This window comes from Homo sapiens, chromosome 6 (genome assembly GCF_000001405.40).
Source record: "Homo sapiens chromosome 6, GRCh38.p14 Primary Assembly".
In the NCBI taxonomy this organism is placed as follows: Eukaryota; Metazoa; Chordata; class Mammalia; order Primates; family Hominidae; genus Homo; species Homo sapiens.
Genome location: NC_000006.12, coordinates 89,796,657 through 89,811,582, shown reverse-complemented (window position 1 = coordinate 89,811,582; position 14,926 = coordinate 89,796,657). Strand labels below are relative to the sequence as shown.

General features: G+C 43.8%; 1 protein-coding gene and 1 pseudogene across 1 annotated transcript in view, besides 3 other annotated features; one reads left to right on the top strand and one right to left on the bottom strand.

The window, feature by feature from the left end:
* The window catches only part of MDN1 (midasin AAA ATPase 1), a 177,297-nt gene that overhangs the window by 8,212 nt on the left and 154,159 nt on the right, over positions 1-14,926 (top strand). The window contains exon 2 of the mRNA NM_014611.3: positions 8,029-8,255. Within this exon, the coding sequence (NP_055426.1) occupies positions 8,029-8,255 (227 nt within the window). The remainder of the gene's footprint in view (positions 1-8,028; positions 8,256-14,926) is intronic.
* Positions 9,627-10,127: an enhancer, noted in NCBI's record as "H3K27ac hESC enhancer chr6:90511175-90511675 (GRCh37/hg19 assembly coordinates)". NCBI's record gives its function as "activates a minimal SCP1, AML or CMV promoter by ChIP-STARR-seq in primed H9 embryonic stem cells {active_cell/tissue: H9 hESC(primed)}" and the evidence as "EXISTENCE:reporter gene assay evidence [ECO:0000049][PMID:30033119]".
* Positions 10,128-10,628: an enhancer, noted in NCBI's record as "H3K27ac hESC enhancer chr6:90510674-90511174 (GRCh37/hg19 assembly coordinates)". NCBI's record gives its function as "activates a minimal SCP1, AML or CMV promoter by ChIP-STARR-seq in primed H9 embryonic stem cells {active_cell/tissue: H9 hESC(primed)}" and the evidence as "EXISTENCE:reporter gene assay evidence [ECO:0000049][PMID:30033119]".
* Positions 11,482-12,215: an enhancer, noted in NCBI's record as "NANOG-H3K27ac-H3K4me1 hESC enhancer chr6:90509087-90509820 (GRCh37/hg19 assembly coordinates)". NCBI's record gives its function as "activates a minimal SCP1, AML or CMV promoter by ChIP-STARR-seq in naive H9 embryonic stem cells {active_cell/tissue: H9 hESC(naive)}" and the evidence as "EXISTENCE:reporter gene assay evidence [ECO:0000049][PMID:30033119]".
* DNAJC19P6 (DnaJ heat shock protein family (Hsp40) member C19 pseudogene 6) lies at positions 13,685-14,137 on the bottom strand (annotated as a pseudogene).

The following is a 14,926-nucleotide window of genomic DNA, read 5'->3' as shown; positions in this document are numbered from 1 at the left end:
TCCCAGCTACTTGGGAGGCTGTGGCAGGAGAATTGGTTGAACTGAACCCGAGAGGGACGCGGAGGTCACAGTGAGCCGACATCGTACCACTGCACTCCAGCCTGGCGACAGAGTGAGACCCTATCTTAAAAAAAAAAAATAAAAAGAAGTAAATCCTTTAACATTCATTGTCCTGTTTTTATTTCCTACAATAGCAAGCCAGCTGACATGGTCAAAGATGCTTTGATTAGCAAGACCCCTGGGCTTACAGAAGGAGAAAACTGATTATGTAGTTTTCCTATAACCCCCACCCACCCGCTAGATACTTACAGGTATCCTAGCCTAGCTGATCCCTTTTCTTGCAGGCCTGGCATTTACCCTTTCATGGGTTTTAGTAAAACATTTATAATTTTTTAAAACTTCATTAACTAGTAGTATTCATGCAGAATACTAGGAGAATTCAGGAAAGCACCACCCATATTGTGGGTTAAATTGTGTCTGTCAAAAATATACTTAGAAGTCCTAGTCTATAATACCTGAATGTGACCCTATTTGGAAATGAGGTCTTTGCAGATGTAATAAAGTCAGGATGAGATAATTAGATAGGGCCTTAATCAATATGACTGTTTCTCTTTCGCCCAGGCTTGAGTGCAGTGGTGCAATCTCAGCTCATTGCAACCTCCGCCTCTTTGGTTCAAGCAATTCTCCTGCCTCAGCAGCTGGGATTACAGGTGTGTGCCACCATGCCCAGCTAATTTTTGTATTTTTAGTAGAGATGTGGTTTCACTATATTGGCCAGGCTGGTCTCTAACTCCCGACCTCAAGTGATCTGTCCACCTCAGCCTCCGAGAGTGCTGGAATTACAGCCGTGAGCCACCACACCCAGCACAATATGACTGTTCTTATGAGGAGAGAAAGACATAAAGGGAAGATGGCCATGTGGCGATGACAGAAATACATATTGGAGTGATAAATCTGTGAGACAAGGAACAGCAGGGATTGATGATGACAACCAGAAGCTAGGAAGAGGCAAGGAAGGATTCTCCCCTATAGGTTTCAAAGGAATATGGCCTTGCTGACACCCTGATCTTGGACTTCCAAACTTTAGAATTGTGAGACAACACATTTCTGTTTTTTTAATTTGTTTTTTGTTTTGTTTTGTGTTTTTGAGACAGAGTCTCACTCTGTTGCCCAGGCTAGAGTACAGTGGCACGATCTCGGTTCACTGCACCCTCTGCTTCCCGGGTTCAAGCGATTCTCCTGCCTCAGCCTTCCTGGTAGCTGGGACTACAGGCACCCGCCACCATACCCGGCTAATTTTTGTATTTTTAGTAGAGACGGGGTTTCACCGTATTGCTCAGGCTGGTCTCGAACTCCTGACCTCAGGTGATCCACCCACCTCAGCCTCCCAAAATGCTGGGATTACAGGCGTGAGCCACTATACCCGGCCTTGTTTTTTTTTAAGTCAGTTTGTGGTATTTTGTTATGACAGCTCCAGGAAATTAATACATGTAAGAAAAACATTCAGTCAGGGACTGCCCATATTAATATTTTGATATATAATCTTCCAAACTTAATTTTTTTTTTTTTTTTTTTTTTTTTTTTTTTTTAGTGAAACGGAGTCTCACTCTGTTGCCTAGGCTGGGGTATAGTGGTACAATCATGGCTCACTGCAGCCTCTACCTTCCAGGCTCAGGTGATTTCCCCCAACTCTAGCCTCATGAGTAGTAGGGACTACAGGCATACACCACCAAGCCTGGCTAATTTTTTATTTTATTTTATTTTATTTTATTTTATTTTATTTTATTTTATTTTATTTATTTATTTTGAGAGGGAGTCTTGCTCTGGCACCCAGGCTTGAGTGCAGTGGCAGAATCGTGGCTTACTGCAACCTCTGCTTCCTGGGTTCAAGCGATTCTCCTGCCTCAGCCTCCCGAGTAGCTGGGACTACAGGTATATGCCATAATGCCCGGCTAATTTTTGTGCCTTTAGTAGAGATGGGGTTTCGCTATGTTGGTCAGGCTGATCTTGAATTCCTGACCTCAAGTAATCCACCCGCCTTGGCCTCCCAAAGTTCTGGGATTACAAGAGTGAGCCACTGCACCCAGCCAAGCCTGGCTAACTTTTGTATTATTTGTAGAGATGGGGTTCTGCCATGTTGCCCAGGCTGGTCTCAAACTCCTGGGCTCAAGTGATCTGCCTGCCTTGGCCTCCCAAAGTGCTGAGATTACAGGTGTGAACCACTATGTTCAGTCTTGTATATATAGTCTTTTCTCTATAAATCTGGGAAGATAAAATAAAAAGTTTTAAATATATATGAAGCTATGCAAACAGTGCTGTAAAAGAGTCAAATATACATACTTCTTTTTTTTTTTTTTTTTTTTTTTTGAGACAGTGTCTCACCTGTCACCCAGGCTGGAGTGCAGGGGCACGATCTCAGCTCACTGCACCCTCAACCTTCCGGGCTCAAGTGCTTCTGCCGCCTCAGCCTCCCTGGTAGCTGGGATTACAGGCTCCCACCACCATGTCCGGCTAATTTTTGTATTTTTAGTAGAGATGGGGTTTCAGCATGTTTCTCAGGCTGGTCTCAAACTCCTGAGCTTAGGTGATCCTCCTGCCTCGGCCTCCCAAAGTGCTGGGATTACAGGCATGAGCCACCGTGCCCAGCCAAATACATATACTTTTGTTCATGATAGAATAACTGGTACTGGATTAGCTCTGTTGCCAAAACAACTAGAAAAAGAGGAAAAAATCCATATGAAAAACGTTCAAACATTGGATGAAAGGTAGGTAGCATAGGATTGGAATTCCTAAAAATGGGAAACAAGGTGAGCCCTAGAATGATTCCAGCTGTCTACCTGGAATCACTTATAGGACTGACTCAGAGGAAGAACGAAGTTCAGCAGTGGTGGTCCTACTGAGCTGAGAAGACAGAGCTCAGAGTTGGGGCGGTAGTTGGAATATGCTGGGAAGGGTGTTGGAATGGAGGGAACAGCTCTAGGGATATGGGGTCTGGTGAGTACTGGCTGAATGTAAAGCTGTGTCTTCTTAGGGAAATTTCGTGAGCTATGCAAAGAATAACTACTGGAGTTTTTCTGTGTAGGAGATGTTCAACTCCTACTAGTTGGAGTGGAACGACCAAGTTGAATACTGGCATAATTAGTGTGGAACCCAGAAGGGCCACACTCTAGGGCTAAATCAGCCCTCAAAGGCCTTTCTAGACCAATACTAACAAAACTTAAAAACAAGTCTTGAAAGGATCAAGCTGACCTACAAGCTGATTAACTGCCTGCTAGAACAAAGGAAGAGAGCAAAATCTAGACACATCTACAACGTTCAGCATCCGATTAAAAAAGTACTAGATATAGGAAAAGGAAAATGGTGGCTCATTGCCAGGAGAAAAGTCAGTCACTGCAACAGACCCCAAAATAATAAAGATATTTAAATTAATAAACAAGGACTTTAAAAAGTGATTATATAATGATATGAATGTTCGGGAAAAAAAAAAAGAAAAAAGTGATTATAGGCTGGGCCAAGAGGAACCACTTGAGGCCAGGAGTTTGTGATCAGTCTGAGCCTGGGCAACAAAGTGAGATCCTGTCACTCTCAAAAACATAAAAAAATAGTAATTATATGTGCAGGGACTTGAAGTTTCGGAAACATAAACATAATGAGAGAAATTTAAGCTATGAAAAAAAACAAGTGAAACCAAAAAATACCATCTTAGCAATGAATATTTTACTGGATAGGCCTCATTGAAGATTAGACAGTTCACAAGAAACGAACATTGAATTACAAGATACGGCAATAGAAATTATCTAGGCTTAAACAGACAGGGTGGGAAAAAGCCAGAATAAAAATGCTTCAGTGATCTGTGAGGCATTATCAACTAGTCTACTGTATGTGTAATTGGAATTACAGGAGGAGGGAGAGAAGAGAAACAGTAGAAATATAAAAAGATAATCTCAAAATTTCTAAAGTTGGTGAAAAATAATTCACAGATCCCAAAAACTCATAATCTTAAATCTGATAAACACAAAACCACACCAAGCCACATCATGATCAAGTTGCTAGAAACAAGTAATAAATAACATCTTAAAAATTGCCAGAAAAAAAGACACTTTACTTGTAGAGGAGCAAAGATAAAAATGACTGCTGACTTCTTAACAGAAACAACACAATGAAACATCTTTCAAAATGCTGAGAAAAACCATAAACCCCCTTGCGTGGTGGCGCATGCCTGTAATCCCAGCACTTTGGGGGCTTAGGTAGGTGGATCTCTTGAGCCCAGGAGTTCGAGACCAGCCTGGGCAATGTGCTGAAACCCTGACTGTAGTAAAAATACAGAAATTAGCCAGGCATGGTAGTGTGTGCCTGTAGTCCCAGCTACTTGGCAGGATGAGGCAGGAGGATCCCTTGAGTCTGGGAAGTCGAGGCTGCAGTGAGCTGATATCAAAGAACTCCAGCCTGGGTGACAGAGGGAAACCCTGTCTCCAAAAAAATAAAATAAAAAACAAAACAATGTTTGCTTAAGACAGGATTTTGTATGTAAAAAGTCTTAAGAAATCTTCAAAATAAAGAATTTCATAAGATCACAGGATACCAGGTCAATGTATAAAAATGAGTTATATTTTTATATTTAAGATTATTGGGGAATGAAATTTATATTTTATGTATTTTATTTTTAAGAGAGTCTCATTCTGTTACCCAGGCTGGAGTGCAGTGGGCACGATCATGGCTTAGTGCAGCCTCGAACTCCTAGGCTGTGAGGTGATCCTCTCCTCACTCTCCAGAGTAGCTGGGACTGTAGATGCACACCGTCACCAGCTAATTAAAAAAAAAAAAATTTTTTAATTAAGCTTTTTTTAAAAATTTTTTTATTGAGGTGGAGTCTCACTCTATCTGTTGCCCGGGCTGGAGTGCAGTGGTGCATTCTCAGTTCACTGCAACCTCCGCCTCCTGGGTTCAAGCCGTTTTCCTGCCCCAGCCTCCCAAGTAGCTGGGATTACAGACACACACCAGCACACCTGGCTAATTTTTTGTATTTCTAGTAGAGACAAAGTTTCACCATGTTGGTCAGGCTGGTCTCAAACTCCTGACCTCAAGTGATCCACCACCCTCTGCCTCCCAAAGTGCTGGGTTTATAGGCGTGAGCCACCACTCCTGGCCACACCAGCTAATTTTTAATTTATTTTTATTTTTTTGAAGAGATGGCATCTTACCACATTGCCCAGGTTGGTCTCGAACTCCTGGCCTCAAGTGATCATCTCACCTTGGCCTCCCAAAGTACCACCATGTCTGACCAGTTTTCTTTGGATATGTTTCTTTCCTCTGCAATGTAACTTACTTTATTATTTAAAAAATGGGGCCGGGCACAGTGGCTCACACCTGTAATCCCAGCACTTTGAGAGGCCAAGGCAGGAGGATTGCTTGAGCTCAGGAGTTTGAGATCAGCCTGGGCAACATAGTGAGACCCCCATGTCTACAAAAATAAAATAATCAGCTGGGCGTGGTGGCACACACCTGTAATCCTAGCTACTTAGGGGACTCAGTTGGGAGGATTGCTTGAGCTTGGGAGGGTGCGCCTGCAGTGAGCTGTGATTTTACCACTGTACTTCAGTCTGGGCGACAGACCAAGACCTTGTCTCAAAAGAAAAAAAAAAGGTATCTTTAGAGGGCTTGTTTATGCGGACATGCAGCAGTTGAAAATGTGAGATTTTGCTCCTATGTATCATGACCAAATCTGTTAAATTTCTTTGCCTCCATTTTTATGGAATCCTTCAGTTAACCTCCTATAAAGGACAGAACTAAGACTGATAGAAATTGTTTCAAGGTAACATTTTTCCCTAATCAGTGCTTTGATCAGAATCAAATGTTTTCATGAGAGAATGCTCTGTAATTGGAAGACTTTGTAAGAGCTCAGGTGTAAGGTGACTTTCTGGGTGATAATTTTGGCAAAACTCGTTAAATTTTGCGTATGACATTTATGCTGTGTTCAAGGTACACTTATATAGGTGACTAGGGTGAGCCTCCTCCTCATCCTTTTTTTGTTGTGGGGGGAGACAGGGCTTTAACTGTTTGTCACCCAGGCTGGAGTGCAGTGGCATGATCTCAGCTCACTGCAACCTCGACCTCCCAGGCTGAAGCTATCCTCCCACTTCAGCCACCTGAGGAGCTGAGACTACAGGCGCATGCCACCAAGCCTGGCTAATTTTTCTATTTTTTGTAGCGATGGGGTTTCACCATGTTGTCCAGGCTGGTCTTGAACTCGTCGGCTTAAGGGATCTGTCTGCTTCGGCCTTCCAAAGTGGTGGGATTACAAGCATGAGCCACCACACCTGGCCTGGGGTGAAACTTCTTAGGATAAACTGATAGCATGGGACTTGCAAGGTCAAAGGGCATGTCCCCATTTTAAACCTGATGTTACATTGCTGGGCAGAAACGGTTGTGCAGACCTGTATACACACTAGCAATATAATGCCTTTTATACAGTTTTCAGTTTTCCTTTGTATGCTTACCTGCATTCTGAACCCGGGCACTAGAATTTTTTTTTTTTTTTTTTTTTTTTTGAGACGGAGTCTCGCTGTCGCCCAGGCTAGAGTGCAGTGGCACGATCTCGGCTCACTACAGGCTCCGCCTCCCGGGGTTCACACCATTCTACTGCCTCAGCCTCCCGAGTAGCTGGGACTACAGGCGCCTGCCACCTCGCCCAGCTAATTTTTTTTGTATTTTTAGTAGAGACAGGGTTTCACCATGTTACAAGCCAGGATGGTCTCGATCTCCTGACCTCGTGATCCGCCTGCCTCGGCCTCCCAAAGTGCTGGGATTACAGGCGTGAGCCACTGCGCCCGGCCTAGAATTTTGTATTTTATTTCATCTTCCGTATCAAAGTGTTGCTGTCTACTTTGGATCTGTTTTTTGTTTATTTATTAGAGGCTGATGCCTTGATCAGCTTGATAGGGATATCCTCATTCACTCCCAGGAATTAATTTTTTACCTCTGTCCTTTCCTGAAGAGTTGGAAGTTTTGTCTACTAACTGCAGAATTCATTTTTTTCTTCAAGAGTTAAAGGAGCTGGGGGAATTTTGGGGTTTTGAATTCCCTGGAGATTGTTGAAACCCCAGCACATAGATTATTTTTCAGATAAGTCGTGTAGCTTTTAAATGGAATCCAGGTATTAGTCCCTGTACCTCAAACTCCAGTGTACTGAAACTTATTTGTAACAGCCTTTATATTAAATTAACTCTGATCCTCCATTGCAAAAAATTTCCACGATATTTTATAATAGAATCTCACTTATGAAGTCTGGAAATTGGACATTTTAGTTCCAACCCAGGACTCGTCTCTGCTTTTCTACAGCAGTGCAAATGAATATTATTTACATAAATATTTTGGGCCAGGCATGGTGGCTCACGCCTGTAATCCCAGCACTTTGTGAGGCTGAGGCTGTTGGATCACCTCTGGCCAGGAGTTCGAGACCAGCCTAGCCAACATGGTGAAACCCTGTCTCTACTAAAACAAAACAAATCAAAACAAAAATTAGCCTGGTGTGGTGGTGGGTGCCTGTAATCCCAGCTACTCATGGGAGGCTGAGGCATGAGAATCGCTTGAACCTGGGATGTTGCAGTGAGCCAAAATCGTGCCACTGCACTCCAGCCTGGGAGATGGAGCAGGACTCTGTCTCCAAAAAAAAAAAAAAAAAAAAAAAGAAAAGAAAAGAAAAGGCCGGGCGCGGTGGCTCACGCCTGTAATCTCAGCACTTTGGGAGGCTGAGGCGGGCGGATCACGAGGTCAGGAGATCGAGACCATCCTGGCTAACATGGTGAAACCCCGTCTCTACTAAAAATATAAAAAATTAGCCGGGTATGGTGGCGGGCGCCTGTAGTCCCAGCTACTTGGGCGGCTCGGGCAGGAGAATGGCATGAACCCGGGAGGTGGAGCTTGCAGTGAGCTGAGATTGCACCACTGCACTTGCTCCTGGGCGACAGAGCGAGACTGTGTCTCAAAAAAAAAAAAAAAGTGAAAGATGTTTTGTTTTGCCTTTCTCAGGTGTGGACACCTCAAGATCGCCAGTGTGTCCTGAGTACCTTAGCACAGTTGCTTTTGGATAAGGACTGTACTGTGCTGGTTGGTCGCCAGCTTCGCCCTCTCCTTTTGGATTTGCTGGAAAGGAATGCCGAAGCCATTAAAGCTGGAGGCCAAATCAACCATGATCTGCATGAACGGCTATGTGTGTCGATGAGCAAACTCATTGGTAACCATCCTGATGTCCTCCCGTGAGTAGCAATTTTATTATTCGCATTTCTCCTTGAGGTGATAGAACCTGCTGTCTCCTGGGATGTAAGGGAGTCTGAGCTGAGAAGGTAAAACGGAAATACAGAAAGGAGAGAGATAAATAGTATTGTTTTATAAAAAGAGTCACAGCAGAATCCATTTATCCAGCTCAGTTCAGTGAGCATTTACTAGGTTTCTCTTAAATCTTGGCCATCAGAACAGACCTGGAAAGATGGCCAGGATATGTCCCCAGTGCTCTCAAGGATTGTATCATGTGGCAAGACATGCATATACAGCGGAGTAAATGAGGTTTAACTGAGGCTCTTACAGCATCCACCTCTAATGGGAAAGATTCCTTGCTTGTTAGAGCAGCTGAAGGAGTGGATTAGAAGAGCTATAGTATCCCTTCCAAATTCTATAAATCTATCTGAATTAGTATACTAAGAGCTGTGTTAGAGCTGGATTTTAATGTGACTTTTAAAGAGATAGTAAAATATAGTTTTGAGGAATAATCAAAAGAGACAGCAAAACTGAGTGTCAGGGGTTTTTAAATTGAAAAGATTTTTAAAACTTTCACTGTAAAAATGATTAATATTCTGTGTACCAATAGGACATTTCTTTCTTCTCTTCTTTTTTTTTTGTGAGATGGAGTCCCACTCTATCACCAGGCTAGAGTGCAGTGGCATGACCTCTGCTCACTGCAACCTCTGCCTCCCTCCTGGGTTCAACTGATTCTCCTGCCTCAGCCTCCTGAGTAGCTGGGACTACAGGCGCGCACACCACCACGCCCAGCTAATTTTTGTATTTTTAGTAGAGACGGGGTTTCACCATGTTGGCCAGGATGGTCTCAATCTCTTGACCTCGTGATCTGCCCGCCTCGACCTCCCAAAGTGTTGGGATTACAGGCGTGAGCCACTGTGCCCGGCCAACAGAACATTTCTTATATCCAGTGTTTTATTTATTAGTCTTCATCAATGCAATAAATACACTTTGGCTTTCTTGGAAGTATGATATCTAGTCTGGTCCTTTAATGAGGAAATAGGAAATGAAGACTTGGGGGAAAACACTGTTGGTCTGAGCTTTTCTAAAAGGGGTTGAGAAAAAAATGGACCTGGTTTAATGGAACTAGAAAATATACAGCCAAGTAAAGATCGGGACTCTGAGAACGTTCCTGGCTTTCTCTATTCTGATATGTCAGTTAGGTATCAAAGTTCTGTCTCATAAAAAATTATCCAGTTTTTTCCTTGCTTTCTCTTCACCTTGATTAAACTTGTGCTCCCAAATCCCCTCAGCTATAGCTTTGGAGACAGTTTCAGAAAGTTAGAATTACACGTTATGTGTTGATTATTTTCTTTTTTTTTTTTCTTTTTGAAGCAGTCTCACTCTGTTGCCCAGGCTGGAGTGCAGTGGCACGATCTCACCTTACTGCAACCTCTTTCTCCTGGGTTCAAGTGATTCTCATGCCTTAGCCTCCTGAGTAGCTGGGACTACAGATGCACATCACTACACCTGGCTAATTCTTTTTTTTTTTTTTCTGAGACAGGGTCTGACTTTGTCGCCCAGTCTGGAGTGCAGTGGCACAATCTTGGCTCATTGCAGCCTCTGCCTCCCGGTTCAAGTGATTCTCCCGCCATCACACTCCACTAATTTTTGTGTTGTGTTTTGTTTTGTTTTTTTTTTGAGACGGAGTCTCACTCTGTCACCTAGGCTGGAGTGCAGTGGCATGGTCTTGGCTCACTGTAACCTCTGCCTCCCAGGTTAAGCGATTCTCCCACCTCAGCCCCCCAAGTAGCTGGGACTACAGGTGCGTGCCACCACACCTGGCTAATTTTTGTATTTTTAGTAGAGATGGGATTTCACTATGTTGGCCAGGCTGATCTTGAACTCCTGACCTCGTGATCTGCCTACCTCGACCTCCCAGATTGCTGGGATTATAGGTGTAAGCCACTGCGCCTGGCCTAACTTTTGTATTTTTTGGGGTTTTCACCATGCTGTCCAGGCCAGTCTTGAACTCCTGGCCTCAAGTGATCTGCCTGCCTCGGCCTCCCAAAGTGCTGGGATTACAGGCGTGAGCCTGGCCTAGTTTTTGTACTTTTAGTGTGGATGGGGTTTCACCATGTTGGCCAGGCTGGTCTTGAATTCCTGACCTCGGGTGATCTGCCCGCCTTGGCCTCCCAAAGTGCTGGGATTACAGACATGAGCCACCACACCCAGAGATTATTTCCTTTAATGTTATATCAGAGTGTAACCTTATTTCTAAGTTTTACCTATGCTGACTTGACCAGCGCCTGCTGTGAATCATGTCTGCAATACACAGAAGTATCCTGGACTAGTAAAGAAGAAAAAAACAGTTCCTTTTTCTCTACATTTGCAGAACACTTCACTTCTAACACCAGATGTGTGACTTTTTACCTATATCTATCAATTCTCTGACGTCAGTTTGGTACCCTGCAATTCAGTTCAACTCTGAGACTGTCTATCTGGGTTTAGTACAGACCCCACAGGTTAAAGATTCAGTCCCACAAGAGTATCTCATCATTCCTCCCCTGCACACCCCCTCTCTAGACACCAATCTCAAGTCTAGGTTATCATATATGCCTCTGACCAAAAGGCTATCAATCAGAGACTTCCTTGACTCACCTCTTCAGGTTTGATTATTTGCTAAAATAGCTCACAGAACTCAGGAAAACAGTTTCTTTACTAGATTACAAGTGTATTAGAAAAGGATACAACTCAGGAAGAGCCAGTTAGAAGAGATGCACAGGACAAGGTATGGGGGAGGGGGACAGTAAGCATCTATGCTCCCCACCAGCTGCAGTACCCTCTCAGCACCTCCATTTGTTTACCACCCTGAAAGCTCTCAGAACCCCATTTATTTTTGTTGTCGTTGTTTGTTTTTTTTGAGATGGAGTTTCGCTGTTGTTGCTCAGGCTGGAGTGCAGTGGTGCAATCTTGGCTCATGGCAACCTCCGCCTCCCAGGTTCACGTGATTCTCCTGCCTCAGCCTCCTGAATAGCTGGGATTACAGGCATGTGCCACCATGCCTGGCTAATTTTGTATTTTTAGTAGAGACGGGGTTTCTCCATGTTGGTCAGGCTGGTCTCGAACTCCCGATCTCAGGTGATCTGCCCTCCTAGGCCTCCCAAAGTCCTGGGATTACAGGTGTGAGCCACCGTGCCCGGCCTGTTTTTCCTTTTTTTTTCTTTTTAATTGGATATTTCATTAGGAAGACATGATTTATTATATCTTTGACCATTGGAGATCATCTTAACCTTTATCCCCTTTCTCCTCTCTGGCAGTTGGGCTGAAAGTTTTAACTTTATTATCACTTGGTTGGTTCTCCTGGCAACCAACCAGTGCCCCCCACTCCTTAGGGACTTTCCCATTGTCACCTCATTAACATAAACTCAGGTGTGATTGAAAGGGGGTTGAATAACAAAAGAATAGCTCTTACTGCATCGGAAATTACAATTCCTGGAGCTCTGTCCTGGAACCAGATTGAAAACTAAACATATATCACAAATAAGCTCAAGTTTTTAACAAAATTTAAGTTTCATTCTTAAAAATGTGTATACACTTTTTCCCGTTGTGGTAGGAAAATGCATAAAACTGATCACCTTTACTATTTCTTTTCTTTTTTTCTTTGGAGATGGAATTTCGTTCTTGTTATCCAGGCTGGAATGCAATGGTGTGGTCTTGGCTCACTGCAACTTCTGCCTCCCAGGTTCAAGTGATTCTCCTGCCTCAGCCTCCGAAGTAGCTGGGATCACAGGCATGTGCCACCACACCTGGCTAATTTTGTATTTTTAGTAGAGGTGGGGATTTCACCATGTTGGCCAGGCTGGTCTTGAACTCCTGACCTTAGGTGATCCACCCGCCTCGGCCTCCCAGTGTTGGGATTGCAGGCGTGAGCCACTGCGCCCGGCCCAACTTTACTATTTCTAAGTGTGCAGTTTATTTGGATTGCATTTTAGCTTAATTTCTTGGTTACAGTTTTGCATCTGCTGCTAGTTTGTGCTGGGCACGTGCCCCACATCAGTGCTGTCTGTCTTTTGATTGGTAAGAGCAATAGTGGGTGGGCCCAGTCACAGCCTTTATGAAGAATAGCAGATGGATTGTTGTGGTGGAGCATGCACTTTCTTTTCAAAGACATGGTCCATGTGTAAGGTACCGTATTTGGCCAGTCATGCGGCCATACAGCAGAATGAGGGACCAAAATAGTTGCTGTTACACATTTTAGTTAAAAACTGTATCTAGAAATGCCTTAAAGGTAACATCTTGTATTTGTTTTTAGACTTTTCTTCCTCTCCAAGAACTACTTTATTCTCACTGTATCCCTGTGAGGAGAATAATGTCCTAATAGTATAATACCTATTTTCCTTTTTCTTCTTTTAGTCCCAGAAGTGATATATTCAAATAACATTCAACAATACAGAATGGTAGGAAGCTAAAGGTCCTCTCCACCCTGAAATCATACCCTCCAAAGATAGCTGGTATTAATATTTTGGTATGTTTTCTCCCAAATGTCTTTTCTCTTGCACACATCAGAGTATACACACAAGTACATTGATATGCACGCATTTTAAATATGGCTTTATTGGGATAGTTTATATAAAAGTGTACAGTTCAGTGGTTTTTAGTATTTTCATCAATATATGCAGTCATCACTACAGTCAATTGTATTTATTTTTTGTTTATTTTTAGCTTGCGCTAAATTATTTTCAAAAATTTTAACTTTTAGGCATTTTCTTATAAAAACTTGCTACTCATACATAAACTAATATGAACTTAAAATTCATCATAGATTTGTTTCACTTTTTTTTTTTTGAGATGGAGTTTCACTCTTGTTGCCCGGGCCGGAATGCAGTGGTGCAATCTTGGCTCACCGCAACCTCCGCCTCCCAGGTTCAAGTGATTCTCCTGCCTCAGCCTCCCGAGTAGCTAGGATCACCACCACTCATGGCTAATTTTGTCTTTTTAGTAGAGACGGGGTTTCTCCATGTTGGTAGGCTGGTCTCGAACTCCCAACCTCAGGTGATCCACCTGTCTCGGCCTCTTAAAGTGCTGGGATTACAGGCGTGAGCCACTGCGCCTGGCCTACTTCACTTTTTAACTTGACTTTCTTTCTTTTTTTTTTTTTTTTTTTTTGAGACAGAGTCTCGCTCTGTCGCCCAGGCTGGAGTGCAGTGGCACGATCTCGGCTCACTGCAAGCTCCGCCTCCCGGGTTCACGCCATTCTCCTGCCTCAGCCTCCTGAGTAGCTGGGACTACAGGTGCCTGCCACCACGCCTGGCTAATTTTTTTTGTATTTTTAGTAGAGATGGGGTTTCACCGTGTTAGCCAGGATGGTCTCGATCTCCTGACCTCGTGATCCACTTGCCTCGGCCTCCCAAAATTCTGGGATTACAGGCGTGAGCCACCACGCCTGGCCGACTTTCTAATAAATCTTTAGCTTCTCTTCTTTTGGCTGCTGTGTAAGGAGATCCTCTTTCACTTGGATTGTTTAAGAGCATCATTCATTAATGAGCATCTCATACTTTCCCTTTATTGGCAGTAGGCCTTAGACCTGGTATTGATGCTGCCTTCTGTTTTGTCATTTTTAATTCAAACCCACCTCTGTAATAGCCACCACTGAAGGCAGATTTTGGTAGACTTTGAAAAACTTGTTTTACTTGAGGCTTCATATGCTTCATGGCTTGCAAAACATAATGGCCTACGAATCCCATGGCAGCAAATCAGTCCAACTGCTACTACTGTACTGGCCACAGCTCCAGCTGGGCTCCCCTGCCTCCACCAGGAACGTGAATCATCCCAGCCCAGGGGTTGCAGCCAACAACCACATACCTTTATCAGAGAGCAACACAGCCGCCGACCACAAGAACAGAACCCGCTACAGTCCATTTTTGAGCATTTGTACACAATTTTTTAAGATAGAATTTTTTTTTTTTTTTTTTTTTGAGATGGAGTCTTGCTCTGTCGCCAGGCTGGAGTGCAGTGGCGTGATCTTGGCTCACTGCAACCTCTGCCTCCTTCCCAGGTTCAAGCGATTCTCCTGCCTCAGCCTTCTGGGTAGCTGGGACTACAGGCGTGTGCCACCACGCCCAGCTAATTTTTGTATTTTTAGTAGAGACGGGGTTTCACCATGTTGGCCAGGATGGTCTCGATCTCTTGACCTTGTGATCCACCTCCCTTGGCCTCCCAAAGTGCTGGGATTACAGGCGTGAGCCACCTCACCCAACCAGAAATTTTTGTGTTGTTGTTGAGATGGAGTTTCACTCTTGTTGCCCATGCTGGAGTGCAATGGTGCTGTCTTGGCTCACTGCAACCTTCGCCTCCCAGGTTCAAGCGATTCTTCTGCCTCAGCCTCCTGAGTAGCTGGGATTACAGGCTTGCATAACCACGCCTGGCTAATTTTGTATTTTTAGTAGAGATGGGGTTTCTCCATGTTGGTCAGGCTGGTCTCGAACTCCCGACCTCAGGTGATCCACCCGCCTCAGCCTCCCAAAGTGCTGGGATTACAGGTGTGAGCCACTGCGCCCAGCCCAGAAATTTTTATAAAATTAAAAACAAACATCTAATGCATGCTAATTATTTTTTAATACTTAATTTAGAGCCATTTTAGGCTCACAGCAAAATTGAGAGGAAGGTACAGAGATTTCTCATATACACACTG